The 19,816-nt window shown below is 48.8% G+C and overlaps 1 protein-coding gene and 2 long non-coding RNA genes across 10 annotated transcripts in view, besides 7 other annotated features; 2 read left to right on the forward strand and 1 right to left on the reverse strand.

Moving 5' to 3' along the window:
• Positions 1,343-1,978: an enhancer, noted in NCBI's record as "H3K27ac-H3K4me1 hESC enhancer chr20:57212955-57213590 (GRCh37/hg19 assembly coordinates)". NCBI's record gives its function as "activates a minimal SCP1, AML or CMV promoter by ChIP-STARR-seq in naive H9 embryonic stem cells {active_cell/tissue: H9 hESC(naive)}" and the evidence as "EXISTENCE:reporter gene assay evidence [ECO:0000049][PMID:30033119]".
• On the reverse strand, positions 3,567-13,079 carry LOC107985410 (uncharacterized). Its single transcript, XR_005647058.2, has 3 exons — positions 12,433-13,079; positions 5,149-5,221; positions 3,567-4,335 (listed from the first exon to the last, which is right to left on the reverse strand). It is a non-coding gene; the product is annotated as an uncharacterized LOC107985410 (long non-coding RNA).
• Positions 10,937-11,231: a silencer, noted in NCBI's record as "tiled region #5631; HepG2 Repressive non-DNase unmatched - State 20:ReprD, and K562 Repressive DNase matched - State 13:Ctcf". NCBI's record gives its function as "represses a minimal TATA promoter and a strong SV40 promoter by Sharpr-MPRA in HepG2 and K562 cells {active_cell/tissue: HepG2 | K562}" and the evidence as "EXISTENCE:reporter gene assay evidence [ECO:0000049][PMID:27701403]".
• Positions 11,919-12,456: an enhancer, noted in NCBI's record as "H3K27ac-H3K4me1 hESC enhancer chr20:57223531-57224068 (GRCh37/hg19 assembly coordinates)". NCBI's record gives its function as "activates a minimal SCP1, AML or CMV promoter by ChIP-STARR-seq in primed H9 embryonic stem cells {active_cell/tissue: H9 hESC(primed)}" and the evidence as "EXISTENCE:reporter gene assay evidence [ECO:0000049][PMID:30033119]".
• Positions 13,630-13,989: a silencer, noted in NCBI's record as "silent region_13074". NCBI's record gives its function as "represses an Ori minimal core promoter by ATAC-STARR-seq in GM12878 lymphoblastoid cells {active_cell/tissue: GM12878}" and the evidence as "EXISTENCE:reporter gene assay evidence [ECO:0000049][PMID:35858748]".
• The window catches only part of STX16-NPEPL1 (STX16-NPEPL1 readthrough (NMD candidate)), a 64,592-nt gene continuing 59,472 nt past the window's right edge, over positions 14,697-19,816 (forward strand). The window contains exon 1 of the long non-coding RNA NR_037945.1: positions 14,697-15,582. This is a non-coding gene — a long non-coding RNA (STX16-NPEPL1 readthrough (NMD candidate)). The remainder of the gene's footprint in view (positions 15,583-19,816) is intronic.
• The window catches only part of STX16 (syntaxin 16), a 28,244-nt gene continuing 23,154 nt past the window's right edge, over positions 14,727-19,816 (forward strand). For 3 of the 8 annotated variants that reach the window (NR_037941.2, NM_001134773.3, NM_003763.6), the window contains exon 1: positions 14,727-15,531. Coding sequence is in view for 4 of the 8 variants with exons in the window: in NM_001134773.3 (NP_001128245.1) it covers positions 15,451-15,531 (81 nt within the window). In the remaining 4 variants the exon portion in view is untranslated. Of the gene's footprint in view, positions 15,583-19,816 lie in introns of all 8 variants that reach the window. The other 5 variants (NM_001001433.3, NM_001134772.3, NR_037943.2 and 2 more) reach the window with 4 other exon arrangements.
• Positions 15,486-15,755: an enhancer, noted in NCBI's record as "active region_18177". NCBI's record gives its function as "activates an Ori minimal core promoter by ATAC-STARR-seq in GM12878 lymphoblastoid cells {active_cell/tissue: GM12878}" and the evidence as "EXISTENCE:reporter gene assay evidence [ECO:0000049][PMID:35858748]".
• Positions 15,486-16,096: a biological region, named in NCBI's record as "OCT4-NANOG-H3K27ac hESC enhancer GRCh37_chr20:57227205-57227708".
• Positions 15,593-16,096: an enhancer, noted in NCBI's record as "OCT4-NANOG-H3K27ac hESC enhancer chr20:57227205-57227708 (GRCh37/hg19 assembly coordinates)". NCBI's record gives its function as "activates a minimal SCP1, AML or CMV promoter by ChIP-STARR-seq in primed H9 embryonic stem cells {active_cell/tissue: H9 hESC(primed)}" and the evidence as "EXISTENCE:reporter gene assay evidence [ECO:0000049][PMID:30033119]".

Genomic DNA, 19,816 nt, shown 5'->3' on the forward strand with positions numbered 1-19,816 from the left:
CTTCAGGGGCCTGAAGCATTTCAGAGACGAAGAGGGAGCCCCTGAGACGCCCACATGTAGACACTCCAGGAAACAGCAGTACCTGACTACACTCAACAAACCCGAAGTCCTCACGGCCTGGCAGGCTCTTCACCTCTGGCGCCTGCCACACTCCAGCCTCACGGCTTTCCCTCCCCTCCCTGCTCTTCCCACTCCCTGTGACACTCTTCCCTGCGACAGCTTCATGGCTTACTACTGGTCTCTGCATCAATGTCACCTCCTCCTGAAAGCCTTCCCTGATCACCCTTGGTGTGTGTCTCCTGTCTGTCACAGGGCAGGGAACTTGTGTCTGGCTGCCAGTGGCATCCCCAGCAGCCAGATCCCTGCCTGGCAATAGTAGCTGCTCTGTCAATATCTGTCCATGGTTGAGTCCAGCTCCTATTCCTCGCAGCTCTGTGAGGTCCCCAAGGACTTGGTTACAAGGTGCTCTCAGCTGAGTGGCCTTAACTAAGATTATCATGGGTGATGCTGGTAGGTTTCCCCCAAATCGACATGACTGAGTGGCCAGGAGGTGGGCACTGAGCCAGATTGACCTGAGTTCCATCTTGGCTCTGCCTCTCCATGACCTCAGGTCACCCGAGCTCTCTGAAACGGCTTCTTTGTCTGTAAAAGAGAGAGCTGAGTGAGACAGACCATTTTCGGTGTTGAGCACAGAAGAAACTGCGGCATCCTGCCTCCCCACTAGGGGAAGCCCAGTTAGGCCGGTTCTTGAAAAACTGGATGCTTCGTCAGCCTGAGCCAAGAGCCTGGGAATGCTTCTTTCCTCGTAGGTCATTGGGGACCACCAAATTCTTCCACCCTCCATGTGCCTCTCATTTTAAAAGACCCAAAAGCTGTGAAAAAGCGGCTCCCTGCGTATGGGAAACGCATCCCAAAGCAGCCTTGTTTCGCCTTCGGACATGGGTGGCCCCTTCTGCCCACCCCTTCCCAAGGCTGAAGATTGCCTGTTGGAGCTTCCTGCGTTGAAAACAAAAATCTTCAGTTCCATTGCCATTGCCATTGGCCCAGCCCTGCTGGTTGGGACCTGGAGGGCTGGACTAAGGAAAGCAAGGGGACACCAGCCAGGCTGAGGCCCGCCTCCAGGGTACATAGAGATGCTGCCCCATCCTCACTCCCGGATGTTCTACGGGCCTTCTGCAACCACCCCTATCCCGGCAGAAATGCCTATCGGTTCTCCATTCTGATCTGCGCCAGCTCAGCCTCCGCAGAGTGAGGGAAATTAGCATGGCCAGGGGCTCTCTCCTGTCACTCCAGATCCATCTGTTGCCTCCAAAGTTTCCCTAGGACGAGGGCCGCTGGCCAAGGCTGACAGGTCTGAGAAGAGCAGCCCTCATTTCACACTGAGCTGCACCCTGAGCCTCAGCCCTGCCACCAGCACGCCAGCCTCCCTGCTCTAACTTCAAGCCCAAGTGCCCTTGGCAGGGGTGCCATCCTGCCTGCTGTGGGCCTGCGTGCTGTCCAAACAGCCTGGGCACCCGAGATTGTCTCGCCGGCCAATCACAGCAAGTGTGGAGCCCGCGGCCGTTCCCTGCGCACAGTAGTCCCTGCCTCGTGCCCACCGTAAAGACTGCCTTTATCACTCGGGAGGTTCATTCATTCATTTACTATTCATTTATTCTTTCATTCACTCAGCAAATATTTACAAAGCCCTCACTCCGCGTGAGGACAGTACAGACATGAATTAAGTACACATGGTTCCACGGTTCTTAGTGGTTCCGACCAGGAGATAAGGAAATCCTTGTTTGCCGTCTGTAGGGCTCGCTGCTCTTTCTTGCTTGCCAGGGTGTTCTGGTAACAGCACCCTGATTTTCCTCAGAACAGCACCTTGCTGCTTCAGTCTACAAATCTGGAGGGCCTGGTCCAGCTCTAGCTCTGTCGTGAGCAGGTGACCAGGCTAGACCAGATGAGCCTCACACCCCTGGTGATAGCCACTAAGTAGTCACAGGTGTGGGCACATGACTCTCTTCAGGCCATTGAGGCTCAGTCCTGGGACCCTTACTAGAAGGACTCATGAGTCCAGAAACAGTGGAAGTTGCCTAGGCAACCGGTTCAGGCCAAAGATTGATCTTCCACTAGTCCAGGAAGTCTTCCTGGAGGTGAAACTTCAGGTCTTTAAATTATGGGAGAGAAGAGAGTGAAGCCAGCACTCACGTGTGACCACCATCCACCTACTGACCCATTCATCCAATGCAGTGAGGGCACATGGCACGGCATGCCGGGTGGGCTGTGTTTTTACTCTGTCATATGCTTCCTGCGTTGGTTCCCTCCAGCCTGTGCACCCCACCCTGCTCCACCCCTGCTTGTGAACTAAATGAAGATCTAAGTGATCACATCTCCACAGTGAGAAAAGACACCAATTGTCCCAGAGAACCAAATGCAGGAGGTGCTGGTCTTTATAGGGGACCTGGGGAAGACACTAACTCTTCTCTAAGGGGTGCTCCAGGCTGCTCTGGCAGTCGAAAGAGCTAGCTGCAAGGCCAAACTATGCTACTGAGCTGCTGTGTGACCTTGGGCAAACAGCTTCCCTTCTCTGGGCTACATGATCTCTAGGCATCTGTCCAATAAATACACTATTTCTAAATCAATTAGACAGAAATGCTGAGGCTTGGAACAGGAGCCAGAGAACGTGAGGCTGACCAGTGACCCCTTAGGAAGGTGGCTGCCATCTGTCCTGTTTCGGAAGCCTCTCCCTCTGCTGGACTCCAAAAGCCCTGCCTTGAAACAGCTGCCCTACCACTCCCAATGCAACTTCCCAATACCATTTCTCTCTTTTCATTTTTCTTCTGTTCCAAGGCAGAACAGGGTAGGAAATCGTGTCAAATAAAGACAGAAGTGCTTGATGTTCCTAATGGCATCCCAAGGAAATGAAGTGTAAAATCACACGAGTTATTTAGCTTCACATACTGCTTTTATCAGAGTCCTGGACAGAACTCCTTAGCAGGAGAAAGCCTGATTTCCTTGGAAAGATGGAATTCTGGTGACAGCAGCAGGGAGCTGGGCTCTCCCGGCACCGATGCAGGATGGAAAGGTCTGTAAGTCACGCCGAGGCAAAAACCAAGACACAAATCGCCCCCCACCCCAACGCACACACACACACACAGAGCAAGACCACATTTTATCCCCACTTTTCAAAGGCAAAGTTGTGTGTGGGCTTTCACTCAGCCAGCTTTGAAAGATCCCTTAACTCCAGGATGCTCTTAGAGTAAAATCCGAACTCCCTGCTTTGTCTTCCAAGCCCAACAAAGTTGGAGCCAGCCTTGGGTTCCAGCTTACCCTGCGCACTCTCCCTCCTCAAGGCCCTCCGGTCCGCCTGGCTCCTTTCTGTTCCTCGAAGACTCCAGGCTCATGCCACCTAGGAGCATCGCCCTGAAGTGCGTCTTGTCCAGAGTGCTCCTGCATAGCTGTCCCCTCCTTCCCTTCAGGGCTCAGCTCAAATGCCATTTGTTCTGAGAAGCATCCCTGGACTACCCCTGGTCCGAGCAGGCCACTCTTTTTGGTTTTCTCCTGGCATTTATCACTCTCTGGGATTGCATTGTTTATTCGTTGTTTATTTTCTGATTCCTCCTCCTAGAAAGTGAATGGTGGGGTGGGGGAGAGGAAGACAGGAATTACACTGGTTTTGTTCATCATTGTATCCTCAGAGTCCTCAACAGTGCCTAGCACAGGATGGGTAAATCTGCCGGAGTTCAACTGGAAAAGTGGAAATAGGAGTTATATACATGTAAATTATTTTATGGGATTTGTTATGGAGAATTGGCTTATGCATTTGTGGGAACCGGGTAAGCAGTCTTTGTCAGGCTGCGTGTCAAGTCTGATGCTGGTGTCAGGTCCACAGGATAGGCAGTCGAGAGGAAAGGCAGATGTCAAGTAGGGAGAGCAAGAACCCACGAGCACAAGCTAGAGCCCCAGGATGGCAGCCTGAAGCCCGTGGCTATTCTTGTTGCCTCTGACCACAGTGGTGAGGCTGTCCTGCAGAAGCCTAGCCCTTCATCACAGAGCTGAACACATACACGCGGCTGGGAGTCGAAAAGTAGCAAGAAGTTGCCGGGGAAGGTTGCGGGTGTTGTGGCAGGCTGCTTCACTCCAGTGAGGTGAGTCAGCAGATCAGCAGCAACGTGTGTCAACTGCAAAACACGGCTGCAGCCTCTCTTGCCTTCTGAATCTTGCAAGAACCTTCCAAGAATCTTCCCTGTGGTCCATCTGAACTGCAAACATGCAGGAAAGATAATTCCAGGAAATGCAGTTGAGCCTGGCCAAGTTAATAGTCTCTGAAGCCATCATAGGTCCACATCAACGCTGATGGATGAAGAGAGGGAGTGGTTTTAGACTAAAGTGTGAACTCCTTATCTGGCACACCAATCTCAGGGTCCAGCCTCTGCCTGCTATCAGCCACCTATCCAAAGTCTATCTGCTCTCCAGCCCCCATCAGGGTCTCTAAACCCTTGGGCTCATTTGGACTGTCCCCTCTGTCCAGAACCCTCTTCCTTGCCCATCTGCCTGGGTAACCCTCAGCACCTTCTAAGACTCAAGCTTTAAGCAAGACCTCCTTTTGGAGTCATTTCACATCAAGATTGAGTCACAGCCTCAGCTGTACTCCCCTCTTCATTCTCCTACCTGGAAACAACTATTATCCACATGTCTCATGTCTCTTTCCGGAGATGGCCTAGTCATTTACCAACAAAATGTATATTTCTTTTTTTCTCACATGTAAGATAGCATACAATACATTTTTTCTGGATCTTGTGATTTTTTTCTCTTAACACTATATTCTGAAGATCTTTCCAAATCAAAATATACAGAAATTCTTTATTCTTTTTAAAGGTTGCCTGAAGTTTCATGTGGGTGGACCAAATTTGTTTAACTTGTTGCTTTTGCTGGATGTTTAAATTGTTTCTCATTCTTCACTGGGATAAACAACACTGCAGTGAACATCCTTACACGTGCCTAGATCATGCTCCTGCCCCTTCTACACCTGGCCGACTTCCAGTGCTCTATAGGATTAACATAAATATCACCTCCTCCATGAAGCCCACCTAAATCTTTCCTAAATTGGGTTGGCTGGTTGCCCCACTTTGCCTCCTAGGCAGCTACTTGCACTGCAACACTTACCATGAGCTATTGATGTGTCCAACTTGCCCTGTGACTTGTTCATCTGTGAATGTCCTGCACAATTTCACAGTACCTGACACACAGTAGATACTCAATAAATGTTTGTGAATTCAATACACATCAAATTTAAACCCCTAACTCTTGGGGCCTCCAAATCTTGCTTCATTCTATTTTTTTTTTTTTTTTTTTTTTTGAGACAGAGTCTTGTTCTGTGCTCCAGGCTGGAGTGCAGTGGCACCATCTCAGCTCACCGCAAACTCTGCCTCCTGGGTTCAAGCCATTCTCCTGCCTCAGCCTCCTGAGTAGCTGGGATAACAGGCACCCAGCACCACGCCAAGCTAAATTTTGTATTTTTAGTAGAGACGGAGTTTCACCATGTTGGCCAGGCTGGTCTCAAACTTCTGACCTGAGGTGATCCGCCTGCCTCGGCCTCCCAAAGTGCTAGGATTACAGGCGTGAGCCACCATGCCTGGTTGCTCCATTATAATTTATGTGTCCACACCTTGCCCAGGCTCGTACAGATCAGTCAGGCTCTCTCGCCTGCCTTATTCTTAGCCCTGCTTCTTCAGCTTTGCTCCTACTGTTTGCTCTCGTCTGCAACACCCTTCCCTCTCTGAAGCCCTTTTCCATCCTTCAAGGCACAGGTCTTCCCCTACCTCCTCCATGAAGATGCTTTCATTGAAATATCATCTCTCCCCTTTCTGAACTGCTGCTGCCTTTATAGTCACTTTGGCATATTTTTTCAAGCTCCGTTGCTCACTAATTGTTTCCCGTCTGTTGGTTTTGTGTCCCCAGCTAGACTGTGAGTTCTTTGAGAGCAGAACTTCTTTATAAACTCTTGCATCTCCCACAAGGCTGGGCTCATGGTAGCTACTCCATACTTCTGTGTTGGTCAGTCAACTGGTTCTTTCATGGATTGAGTCAGATCCCGGTACCGACTGTTAACAACCTTGTCCTTGGGGCACTACGGAGGTGCCGGAAATCATCGTGCTGGTAACTGTCACAGTAGGAGGCACCCTTAGATGGGGGAGTCCACTGGAGTGCAGCTCCTCTTATCCTCCTACTGCACCCTACCTAGATTGGAGCTTCTGCAAGAATGAACCTCTCAGTTACACCACGTTTTATCACTCTAACGTCTTTATGGACCCCAAAAACATCTATCCTATGGAAGTCTCTCCTTTGGAAGACACAGATAACATGTGTCTTGGGTCCCCAGATTCTGGAATAGCTAGCTCCTCAGGAGAAACGGAGCACCCAGAGAGAATCAAATGAGACTCACCCAGACCCCCTGTCCAGTCATATTTCCAGAGATAATGTGACACAGTCTGACTGAATCAGCCTTGATTTCCATCAAGAAGACATGAAGTCCGGGCGCGGTGGCTCACGCCTGTCATCCCAGCACTTTGGGAGGCCGAGGTGAGTGGATCACTTGAGATCAGGAGTTTGAGACCAGCCTGGCCAACATGGTGAAACCTCATTAGCTGGATGTGGTGGCACATGCCTGTAATCTCAGCTACTGGGGAGGCTGAGGCAGGAGAATCACTTGAACCCAGGAGGCGGAGGTTGCAGTGAGCCGAGATCGCACCATTGCACTCCAGCCTGGGCAACAGAGCGAGACCCTGTCTTGGAAAAAAAAAAAAAAAAGGTCGAAGCACGGAGTATGCAGAGAATGTTCTGCAGGGCACAGGATTCAAGGCAGGGGTGGCTGGAAAGACCCTGGACACATCCAGCTTTGAGAGCAAAGTTAAAGAGTTATTTTTTTCTAATAGGCAGTAGGAAGACAAAGCAGTTATCTAATCAGGAAAGGAACATGAACAGATTGATATTTTTACAAAGGTGATGGTTTGGAAAGCATTCCACACCAGGGACCAGCACTGGAGGTGTGACGACCAGCTAGACAGTCTGTTGTGATTTTCCAGGCAAAAGAGGTGATAAGAGCAGTGAAGATGGAGAGGAGAGCAGACTGTTGATATTTAGGATGCAGAATCTGTCACGATGTGGTCCTGAGTGGTACATTGGCAGGTGGTGGGGGCAAATGGGAGCAAGGATGGTAAATGATACCAAAGGCTCTATTTAGGGGTGCCAATGAAAGATAAGGAATAGAGGAGAAGGAAGAGCATGCTTGGATGGGCAGCCAGTGGTTCACTGTTGAGCATGTAAGACACCTAGGCAGCTCCGTGCAGTGGAAAATCCACACGGATGCTCTGAATGAGAGGCAGAGTGTGTGCAGGAGGCCCATGGGTAGAGTGTGCGCAGGAGGCCCATGGGTAGAGTGTGCGCAGGAGGCCCATGGGTAGAGTGTGCGCAGGAGGCCCATGGGTAGAGTGTGCGCAGGAGGCCCATGGGTAGAGTGTGCGCAGGAGGCCCATGGGTAGAGTGTGCGCAGGAGGCCCATGGGTAGAGTGTGCGCAGGAGGCCCATGGGTAGAGTGTGCGCAGGAGGCCCATGGGTAGAGTGTGTGCAGGAGGCCCATGGGTAGGCGGGACCTGCCACTGTGGTTAGGTGAAAGGTAACAGAAAAGCAAGGACTTAACACTGGGGAAAATCAAAATTTGGGGGCTGGGCCTCAGAGGGATGATGAAGGAGGAGAAGCAGGCATGACCAAAGTTCCAGAAGCCAGAGGAGTGGGTTTGAAGGAGAGGCATATAGCAGTGTGCAAAGGGCACACAGTGGGTTGAAAACAGACCCAAGGTAGAAATCTGTTGCATGCGAGCACCCAACATCACTTTTCTTGGTTCTAACACGCTGATTTCAGAAGAGGCGAGTTTATAATCCATTGTGTTTGGATGGATCAGACCCTGGCACCCTCCCTGAGTTCAGAAGTGGTCACGTGATCCTGGTCTGACCCATCTGATGATCACTACTTTCTGGCTAAGTTTAGAATTTCAGGATACTAGCTCACATCTGCAATTCCAGCCTTTGGAAGGCCCAAGGCAGGTGGATAGTTTGAGCCCAGGAGTTCGAGACCAGCCTGGGCAACATGGTGAAACCCCATCTCTACAAAAAGTATAAAAAATTATGGCTGAGTGTGGTAGCTTATGCCTGTAATCCCAGCACTTTGGGAGGCCAAGGTGGGTTGATTCTTTAAGCCCAGGAATTCGAGACCAGCCTGGACCCCATCTCTACTAAAAATATAAAACTTAGCAGGGTACAGTGGCACATGTCCATGGTCTCAGCTACTTGGGAGGCTGAAGTGGGAGAATCATTTGAGGTTGCAGTGAGCTATGATAGCGCCACTGTACTCTAGCCAGGGTGACAGAGTGAGACCCTGTCTCAAAAAAAAAAAAAAAAGTATAAAAATTAGCCAGGCATGGTGGTACCTGCCTGTAGTCCCAACTACTTGGGAGGCTAAGGTGGGAGAATCACCTGAGTCTGGGAGGTTGAGGCTTCAGCGAGCTGTGATTGTGTCGCCACATTCTAGCTTGGGAGACAGAGTAAGACCCTGGCTCAAAAAAAAAAAAAAAAAAATGAATTCAGGGATAAGGCTATAACTCATGACAGGCCAATGAGAGTCCATTCTAGGACTTTTGAAACCACTGGAAAAGAGAAATTTCAATCTATTGGGGTTGCTGTCCTGTGAGATAACAGGGCAGAGCTTCCAGAGAGCAATCTGCCACCTCCTGGGGTTCACTGGCTTGAGAATGAAACCAGCACAGGGGAAGAAAGAGCTGAGAGATAGAAACTCCTTGTTGATATGTTTCCTCCTCTGGATCCAGCTACGCATAGATGTTTGGGCCAACACATTTGCTTTGAAGCTTAAGTCCATTTGATTTGGGTTCTGTCCCTTGTGACCAAAGGAGTCTTGAGCCATGCATGGCCACATAGCTAATAAGGGGCTGCTGGTTGCACAGGCAGCATCTGGAGAAGGCTGGAGTCCAGCCCTGCACTTGCACATCACACAAATTACCACGAGCAGGTCAGTGGTCATGGCCATGGGAAAAAAAACTAGAAACGAGTGAGTTGGCTATGTTTCAATACCTGCTAGCGGAAAAACACAATGATTTCCTTTATGTTTTTCAGGGTTTGAGTCATCCAGGTCAGTCCTGGCTTGGCACATTAACTTATTGTTCCTGCCAAGGGAGATGGTTAAGATGGGAGGGTTGATTTATTTGAGTACACATGTGTCCACATCATCCTGGAAAAAAAGTAAAATGCAGATATGCTTTGCTGGCATGTGTTGTGACCCAAGAGGCCTCTTCTTGGCCTCAAAGACCAAAAGCCACGATGTTAGACATTGTTTCAGTCTTGAACTTGACCAAGCATGGGCAGGCACCTGGTATGATGGTGACATAAGGGCCCTGGGAGAGGAGAGTCCTCTCCCCACACGGTGGACAGGGTAGGAGGATTACTTTCTATTGAATAGTCTGAGACAAGAGTGGTGAGAAGGAGCCAGTTATTTGAAGAACCTAGGAAGGAGAGCAAAGCAGGTGCTAAGGAGGTGTGAGGAATGGTGGGAAGGCTAGTGTGGCTGAAAAGGGGTGAGCGAGGGGGACAGAGAACTGCCCTAATCTCTCCACCCATTTTGAGTCTTGACTGTCTGGTATTCTCTAGCACTTAATATAGTTAATCTCACCTTTTGTGCATTAATCCATCCAGTCATCCATTCCGCAAACATTTATCACACCTGACAGTGTAGGGGGTGCTGTCTTCAATGAAGGGTTCACCAAGCAGAAGGGGCAAGACACATCCCCCGCCACTACCCCCACCAGGCAGAGAAAGGCCTGTGAGCCAAGTCCTGGAAAGAAAAAAGCTCACCATTTAGGTGGGGCCTGTTGGGCAGGGCTTTGAATGCCCAGGGGGCACTCCGCCATGTGGAAAGTGTAGAAAACCTAAATGCAGAACTCCAGGAAATACTGATCTATGGGAAAAAAATTGTACTGAAATCCATGATTCTGGAATAAATCAGATCTAGTCTTATACTATATTCTAATACAGCCAAGTGGTGGCAGGGACTGAAGGTTTAAGAGAAAGCGAGAAGAGAAACACTTAAGATGGAGACTACTCCATTAATTAGCTTCATTTTTTTTTTTCTGACAACCAAGAAAAGTCCATCATTAGTTAATATTAGTGATGCCCAGCTTGGTTCAACTTAGAGCACCTGTTTTCTGCTGAGCGTCATTTGAGATCGGCTGGCATGGGCCAGAGGGAGCTGTTTCAGGGCCTCAATCAGGCAGTGACATGATCAGATTTATGCTTTGGAAAGGTCACTGTGGCTGCAGGATGAGGAGGGAAGAGACGGGTGGTTGTTAGCAGGCTGCTGGGAAAATGTACACGATGAGAACCAGAATTTGGGTAGAGACAGTGGAGATGCAAATTCCCTGAAGGCAAGAGTTTTGCTGTTTCATTCTTTCAGCAGTGCCTGGCAAGAGATAGGCACAGCCACTGGTAGATTTTTAGAAATGCCTACTGTATTGAATTGTCTGGTATTAAAAGCTACGGGACTCCAGACAAAACAAAAGTGTTGCCTCTCTCCAGAGTCTCCCTTCTTGGGAGAGGCATCATAGCTGAAGACAGACCCAGATAGGGAGTTTTCTGTTGTTGGAAATACTCAAGGTTTTGAGGAACTATTTGGGGACACAGAACACACAACTCCTGTTACCCGAACCTGGCCCGAATCTGTCTGTCAGATCTGTGCAGACGAGACATATGTTAGGCCTGGGGGCTTTTGCTGCTTGATAAGCAAACAACCATCTGTCTTTCTATAGGTGGGAGAAAGACCAATGTTAAAAGGTGTCTTTGAGATGGTTTAGCCCCCTCTTCCACATGAGTGTGCACTGCAGACACATCTGGATTCCCAAGGTCCAGAACAAGAAGCTCGGAAACGTGCTTAGATTTCCAAGTGTTCAGTTCTCAATACCATGCCATTCTCTTTGGAGTTTATGATGCCTTCCAGGGAGAGCAGAGCCCACGTGAGCTTTCCAACAGTAAGACTACTGCTGTAATAAATCATATTGCCCATTTGTGGCGCACTTACTCTATGCTGAGGTTGTATAAGGGCTTACATGAGCCCTATCTCATTTAAATTGTTTTCACCAAAGGGTGTGTGTCCCACTGCTGACCTGTTGAGCTAACCATCCCCTCTCAGTACTTGAAAACCTGCACCTGCCCAAGCCATGGCCTGGCTTCAATGGGGCTTCCTCCTGCACTGAATGAGATGACAAGAAAACAATGAAACACTTGTCCCCAAAAGTGACTTATTGGATTCGTTGGCAGAATGTTAGAAAGTGGGTATGAAGCCCAAGAAACAGGACACGGAGCCTCACCAAGCCCGAGGAGTATTACCGAATCCTAGCCCAGGCCAAGAATGAGTCACAATGAAAGCTTTTAAAATGTAAAACCATCAACCTAGATTTCAATTCCAAGGAAACACATACTTGGCCATGGGGGAATGCTTTAAAAAAAAAAAAAAATCAAGCTTAAGTCACTTGACAGGAAAATAAAACAGCCAAGGAACATTCAAATATAATGATTTACATCCTTCCCCAACTCCCTTCCAGTGTGGGTCAGGGCGAACATGGACCATGGACGTGACTGGAGCCAGGGGTGCATGCCCTCTCTGGGCTCCCTCTTGGTTAACACTATTTCAGGCACACAATCCCATACCTAAACACAGCCTGCTTAGAGCTGCACCGTGCTGCCTTTGGGGCCTGGTCAGAGCTGCACGGTGCTGCCTTTGGGGCCTGGTCAGAGCTGCACGGTGCTGCCTTTGGGGCCTGGTCAGAGCTGCACGGTGCTGCCTTTGGGGCCTGGTCAGAGCTGCACGGTGCTGCCTTTGGGGCCTGGTCAGAGCTGCACGGTGCTGCCTTTGGGGCCTGGTCAGAGCTGCACGGTGCTGCCTTTGGGGCCTGGTCAGAGCTGCACCGTGCTGCCTTTGGGGCCTGGTCAGAGCTGCACGGTGCTGCCTTTGGGGCCTGGTCAGAGCTGCACGGTGCTGCCTTTGGGCTGCTATGCCAACTTCTTGGATTTTCCTGACCTCCCCGCTGTTAGGCTCTTGGGTTGCTTGGGGTGGCTGTTTTGGGAATACCAGGATTTTTCTTCCATTATTTGTGTGCAAGCAGTGTTCATTTCGCTCAAAGAAATGGAAGCTTGATTGATCTCCTAAATGTAAGAATGAGATTGTCCTGTAATAAATATTTAAGACTGACCAGGAAAGGCGACCACCATCTGCTGAAACACAAGACCAGGAATTACTTTGCTAAGCTTCCTGAACGGAGGGAATGAATGAATAACCATCCTATATAATATTTGCTCAGCACCTGGTAGTTTACAAAGAGTTTTCACTTACCTTATTTGATCTTCACAATAACCCCAGAGAAGTAGACAGGGCGCGGATTACGAGGATTACGAAAAACCCACATTTTTTTCTTTTTTTCTTAACAGATAAGGGCTCTAAAGGCTTAAAGTCACTCGAGGGAGGTCAGAGAGTTTGGGGACTAAATCTCGAGTCTCTCATTAATTCATGCACATATTTAAAAAATATTTATCCGGAGCCTGTTCCAAGCCAGATGAGATGGCAGTGGGTACAAAGATGAATAAAACACTGTCCCTGCGTAGGAAGAAGATCACGTTCTAGCCTGGGGGAGAGCGCCAGGAAAAGTAAACAGGTCCCCCCCTGCTTTGTGAGGTGATGAGTGCTGGGGAGATAGGAAGAGAGTGGGGACCATGTTTCTAATCTGATTCTCCTACCGACGACCAGCTCAGTTGTTATTTACAAATACCTGTCCCCTAAAGGGGGGAGCGGGGTTGGGGGGGCTTGGCCGTGCTGCTGGGGTCAGAGCTCGCAGGGGGGTTCTGCCGCAGTGTGGGGACAAACTCTCCCTTATTGGGCAAATATTTCCCGGGGCGCTACGCTAAGCACACGGGCTCCCCGAATTTCCCTCCCCAGGGCCTCTCTGTCTTTGGATGGCCTGTCAGCAAGTCCCTGCAGCCTCCAGCCCGGCCCGCGCGGCGACCCAGTCCCCTGTCGCCCGAATCTTCCACCGCTGCGAAGCGTCCCCGGGCGAGCGCCCTGCTCTCCGCGCTGCGCGGAAGCCAGAGCCGGTCCTCACAGTGAACTCGCCCAGCCCTGCTCGCGGCTCTCTCGATTTTATGTGGGTTTCGTTGGATGCATTTTGTTATTTGCCTCAATGGATGTTTCACATTAATTTTTAGTTGCACAACGAACGCGCGGGAACATTCTCCGTGAGAGAAAAAGCACGGGTGGGGGGCGGTTACCGGTGCTTCCCCCGGTCGCCTGGGGGTCCCGCACGCGCCCCGCGGGTGCCGCTGTCTGGCTGGGGTCCCTGGGTGAGCCGCGGGCACCGGCTTCGCGTCTCCCCGGGCGCGACTCCGCTTTGCAAGCGCTCAGCACACGGGAAACCCTCGGAAAACACACACGTGTGTAAAGTTTGTTCCACGCAGAAACAAAGGACGCGTGGGGGCCGCTTCTGGGGCCTCGGTCCTTTGTTGGAACCCCGCACCGCAGCCCGGCCCGCAGCCTCGCCCCGCAAGGGGAAGCCGGCCCTGCACAGGCCCGGGGCCCGGAAGGCGCCGCCGCACAGCTCTGCGCCCCCGACCCGCTCCGGCCGCGCGCTGGGCCAGGCCCTTGGCCTCAAGCCTCCCGGGCGGCTCCGGGCCGGACCCGGGTCTCCGTCGCGGGACGCCAGCCTGTTTGTGGGTGCCGTGCTCGGGCCCGGGCGGCCCCTGCCCGACGCGGCCCCACGGAGCCCCTGCACGAACCCCGCCGACCTGGCCCGGGGCGGCAAGTCGAGGTGCTTAGGGCGCCCTGGGCCCGGCCAACCGTGGAAAACCCGGCCCGGGGCACGGGGGGGCGCGGGGGTCGCAGGGCCAGGGCCCAGGCAGGGAACAGAGATTTTTTTCGCGGGGAGGGGGGTGGGAGGTGTCAAAGTTTTCGGGGAACTTTTCCACTTGAGATTCCACGACCCTGCAGTGCCCCCTACAGAAAGCGGCAGCTGGGGAGGGCGGGCGCCCCCGACGACCCCCGACTGCCAGCGGCGGCGCGGCCAGGCTGCCTGGAGTTCTTGTTCCTTTTTTTTTTTTTTTTTTCCTTTTATTTCCTCGTGGTTGTTTGTCGGATACATCTTTTTCCAGAGTGGGAAAAAAAAAAAAAAAAGCGAGCGCCGCCGCCTGCAGTAGAGCGTGCTCGGCCTGCAGAGGCAGTCGTCTCCAACTTTTCCTCTCCCGCTCCAACTCCCCGCGCCCAAAACTTCAGTTCTTGGGGAGCCCAAATTTGCCTGCCGCGCAACTTCCACTCTAATTCAGCGACCAAGGGCCCTGGCAGCGGTTTGCAGCCTGGGGGCCACGCTCCCCAGGCTCAGGCCTGCTCGTTGGCCTGCTCCTAGTGCCTGGACCCAGTTGGGGGAGGCGAAACAGGGCGCCCGAGGAGCACCCCGGGAGAGGGCGGAGCACTCCCGTGCCCCGGGGCAGGAGTGCAGGGAGCTCCCGCGCCCGGAACGTTGCGAGCAAGGCTTGCGAGCGTCGCAGGGGGGCACTCGCGAGGGACGGACAGGAAGAGGGCCAGGGGGGAACGCCAGAACCCGGGACCACAGCACGGAAACGGTCCGGGGCTGAGCTGCAGTCAGATCCGGGGATGGAGGGAGCCGGAGAAGAGGAGTGAGAAGGCCGGGGAGGCAGGCCCTGCTGTCTTCCTGCAGGCCGGCAGCCTGCTGGCAGTGGAGGACCAGGCCGTCCAGGAAAGGAAGGGGTCAGGAGGTCGGGCAGGGCCTCAGCAGGTTCAGACAAGTCCCCAGAAGGGAGCTGCAGGCGCCCTCGAGTCCAGGCCCCAAGCCTGGCTCCGGTTGTCCAAAGAGGGCCTAGGCCAGGCCTCTGGTGCGGAAACTGAGTCACAGCCAGACCTCAGGGCACGGCCTAGACGCTTACGAGCCAAAGTTAGGGGTAGAGAGCAGAGACCTCCGGGGGGTCTCAGGGAGTAGGGGGCTTCAGGGCCTCCCAGTCTAGAGCCGGATTGGCGAGTTAGACGCTTGTAGATCCAAGGTTGGATTGGGGTGGGGTCTCTGGGACGTTGGATCGCTACGCAAGGATTGGGGGGATTCAAGTGCTTAGAGATCGAAGTCTGCCCTGGGTAGGGGGAGTCAGACAATTGGAAAGCCTAGGTAGTTATTTGGGGAGGGGTCTCTACGCCTTGGCGAAGCGCACAGCTGCATCTTTTTGGCTTGAGGCCTGAGGCCTTGTCGAGAAGCTTCCGTGAAAGGGTGGGCCAGCCGGGCCACGAGAAAGAAAGTGAATAAATCAGGAATATAAGTGGGCGGGGGGCCCCTGAGAGGGGGGTCGCAAAGGGTGAGACATGGCCACCAGGCGTTTAACCGACGCTTTCTTGTTGTTGCGGAATAATTCCATCCAAAACCGGCAGCTGTTAGCCGAGCAAGTGAGTAGTCACATCACCTCCAGCCCTCTGCATTCACGTAGCATTGCTGCGGTGAGTCTCCTGGCGGCCTCTCCGACACACGGACCGTGTGCACTGCGGCTCTGCCTGTTTGTCTGTCTCTGTCTGTCTCTCTGTTTAAAAAGAGAAGATAAGAATAATAAGACTAAGAATAATAAGATCTCTTGGCTAGAGTCAGGGGGCATCTGTAGCCCTGGATGAGGAAGAAGCGGTGCTGTGAGGCCGCAGCTCCACCTCTGCCCGGTCTTCTCCTCACTTCCGCAGCACCCCCCCCCCCGCACCCCCCGCCTTGGCGTCACTGCGCTACAGGCCGCCTGTAATTTACATATGTTTTAACGCTAACATTGGGAAGCATTGGGCCTTTCTGAAGCCTTTTTGTTTCGTTTTGTTTGAAGCTCCCCTCCCCCCAGTAATGAGCCTCAGTTTGGTCCTAAGGGCTGGGTCGCCGGATCGTAGACCCAAATCCTTGCAAAATGAACGACTCCCTCCCCTCAAAGAGGAGGGAGTTGTGTTGTTGTTTTGTTTTGTTTTGTTTTTCCGCCCGTTTTCTTTTAACGGCCCCGCAGCCCTCTGTGTGGCCTTGTTCCCTGTGAATAATTGCCTCACTGTTCTTCCTGGGGGCTTGCGTTTGTGAGACTCAAGGTGCTAGCCTCTTCACTTTCCATTTCCCAGACAGGAAATTAAGCTTTCCTCTCCATTCGAACTTTTTAAAAAAAGCCTGAGGAGGTATATGTGAAAATTAACCCCGTAAAATAGCACTTTTTTTTTTTAATTAACCACAACCTTTAGTTAGCCTAGCAGTAGCGTTTTTTAAGGGTGGTCCTGGAAAAATTACTGTTTGGGGTTTGTTTTTAATGGGGGCTACTTTTCCCTTTCTGAGCCTCAGTTTACTGCTCTGTTAAATAAGGGGCGAGTCTGGATGATCTATACCAGACAGTGATCGTTAGCTCTGTAATGTCTTCAATTGAAAAGTGAAGTTATGAAACTGGCTGTAGTTCAGGCTACCTGCTGTAGGCAGACTAGGTTGGAATAGAAGCAGCGTTGGAACAGGCGGGAAATAGCCATCCCAGGACCACATTCTTGGGGGTTATACTTGATATTAGGCAATTTTGGAACATTCATTTCACCTCTTAGGGACTGTATTGCCAGTTTATTTTTTTCTTTATGGCTTTATCTAAATGCTTCAGGAAAATTTTGCCATATGTCATGATTATCATGTCTACAAAGACAGTTTCTCCTTTTTGTAAGTCACAGGTGGAGAATGTCTTTGGCCATATAACTGATAGAAAAGTCATTTTAAGCCGTGTGAGCGGTTTCAGGAATAAAAGCATGTAAACTCAGGTCAAACAGCCTAGAACTAGGGACAGAGTGTGTGTGAGATTTCAGTTAATTAAGAAGTTGAAGGGTTTTTTTTACATTTATAAACGGAAAGGAATTACATTATATTGAAATAAATGTAAAGATGTCTGGTAGCATAGAAACAGGCTAATTCTAGCGCTAATTTTGAAGAAGAAATAATCCAAGAAATCGAGTAGAAATTGGATGAATTCAATTCCTTAATGGAACTTCAGTAATGTTAAATAAGAACTGCATGTTCCTTAAATGACTTGATTTTGTGCTGCCTCAAAAACTACTGAAACTCATATTAAGATTTCTAAGGTATCAGTTTTAATTGAAAAACATATTGTTTATTTTTCAATTTTTAATCATTAAGGTTCAAAATACCCTGAACCTTTGGGTAACATGAGGGTTTTTTTTTTTTTCCCGATTAAGTCAGACAGTTTAAAAACCTAGTATCTGAGACGGGAAGCTTTTTAAAAGTGCATCTCTGAATCAGACCACTTTAGAAAATTATTTTCTAAGTTAGGCAATTTTAAAAAATATTTAAGCTAAGCAGAATAATTAAAAATGGATAGTTAACGTATACAGTTTGGAAAAATAGATATGTCAGGGTATATACAGATACATTTAGCTAACTCACAGTTTTTTGAAAATAGATTTCTAAACCCAACTAAAAATACATTTCTAAGAACGTTAAAAAATGTTTTCTAAATGTCATACCATTGAAAATGTTAATATTTATATTAGTCTGACCATTTAAAATCTTTCTCAGATCATTGAAAGCAGTCATATCATTTAAAATATCCTTATAGTCAATCCATACTATCTCAAAAATAGGTTTTGCAGTCTAACAAACATAGTTTGCCTGAATTCAAATTTAAAAATAAAACACAGATTTATATATTTTAATTGTGTTAAAAAATGGCATGTCATAAATTTCTGAAGTATTTAGGGTTGAAGTGTTACATCTTCACTTTGCTTACAGGTGATTCGTAACAAAATCTATTCTGCACACAGTACGGCGAAATGCTAACAAGACTAAATAGAGGTTATGATTTTTTCAACTTTTCTGGAAGTTGGAAAAGCTTTATAAACATTTTGAAGCAAAAGCCATGTTTAACACAATTTGTAAAATCTATTGAGTAACTCTTAGCAATGCTTTTCACTGCATATCTAGCTCACAAAAAATTTAAAGCCTTGTTTCTGACTTGTAAATTTCAAAGCCATGTAGCAAACCAAACAAAATCGTATCTGTCAAATTTTGAATATGGACTAGGTATTAGGTGACATTAAGGAATTAATTATAATACATTACATTTGCTAATTTTATTAGAGATGCCTACTGAAATGTTTAGTGGTGAAATGTCAAGGCATCTTACCTAAGTCCTTAAACCCCTCCAAAAATAGAGGAAGCAAATAAGGCAAATTGTTACTCATTGTTAAGTCTAGTGATGAGTATGTGTGCGACATTTTACCATTTTGTAGGCTTTTCTGCATGTTTGAAAATTTTTAAATAGAAACTTAAAGTAAGTATATTTGTTATAGTAAAGTAAAACAGTTAAAAAGAGGCAATTTGTAAATACATGTCTAACACTCAGGCAATTTGAAAGGAAGAAATTAAACCTAAGTTTAACTTAATTTAAAAAATAATAACCTGGAATTTTAAGTTTCCAATTAGAAGAAAAAGCTGTAGACTTTGATCTTGATGCATTTGATACCAACTAAAAATACACCTAAAATAACAGACTTTTTAAAAAAAAAATTGTAATCCTGAATTTTGACATCTTATTTCAGGAAAAAGCTGCAGAAATTAATTGCAGAGTAGTGTGTATCATACACCTCAAAGCAAAGCACACCTAAAGCCATGCCATTCAAAAAATTTAAACATGCATTTTTTGCATCCTAGTTTGAGGGAAAAAACTAGAATTTGGTTGTTGTAGTGGGGTTATTGTGTGTCCCTGTGCGTGCATACAGGGTTTTGCAGCATTCAGGCAAATATGTCAAATAAACAGGAATTTAAGGAGGATACGCAGTGACCAGATAAACACAAAGCCTCAAGGGCCAGAAGGAACCTAAAGGTCATTTGGCCTAATGTCCCCATTTGTGATAACCCCTCATGCCTATCTTATTTGGCCATGGTGTATGACAATGATGGAAAATGCCAGCAGCTCCATGATTTTTACCACTAAAAAGTCTTTGCCTGTTAATCCCAACTATTTGTGTCCTGGGGTCCTGCTTTTAGTTCTGTTCCTTCGGGTCTTCCTTCTGTCTGGTAACCCTGCAGCCTTGTTACCCAGAATTCTTTCCAGGCCTAGCATTCCCGGCTCAGAGTGGTTATGCTTTTTTCCTATAAATGATGTTTAGTTTTTCTGTATCCTTTTTAGATTTCAGCATCCAGAACTGAGCAAAATTCTACTTTTTTGTGTTCTTAGTTGTATTAAAGTTAGTAAAACTAATTGTAAAAAAACAGACAGGTTTGACTTTATGCACTCCTAACAAAATACAGTCGTATTTCCCATGCATTTTACTTTGGCCTCAGTTTTGAGTGCCCCATCACGTTCATGCCTCAGGGCAGCATGAAATAAAGGAAAGAGCACTGAGAATTGAATCTGAGAATTGAGGCCTAAGTCCTGTTCTGCTGCAGGCTCAGAGTGTGTCCTTAGGCAAGCCTTTAATCTTTTCGGACATTTTTTGCCTCATTTGTAAACTGAGGGGTTTGGGTTAGGTGATTTCCAGCAGCCCTATCGATTCAACAGTATTTTCTCAAGTTCTGTTTTAATACATTGTTTCTCCTGACTTTAGCTTTAATTTGAAAAGGAGAAATTCATAGTCAACAGTGTTGTAGCTGTCAGTCCAAGGTTACTGACAGAAATCCTTAGAAGTAGCCCCAGTACTGTGCAAAAGTAACTTTCACATTATTATGCCA

This window comes from Homo sapiens, chromosome 20 (genome assembly GCF_000001405.40).
Source record: "Homo sapiens chromosome 20, GRCh38.p14 Primary Assembly".
Lineage (NCBI taxonomy): Eukaryota > Metazoa > Chordata > Mammalia > Primates > Hominidae > Homo > Homo sapiens.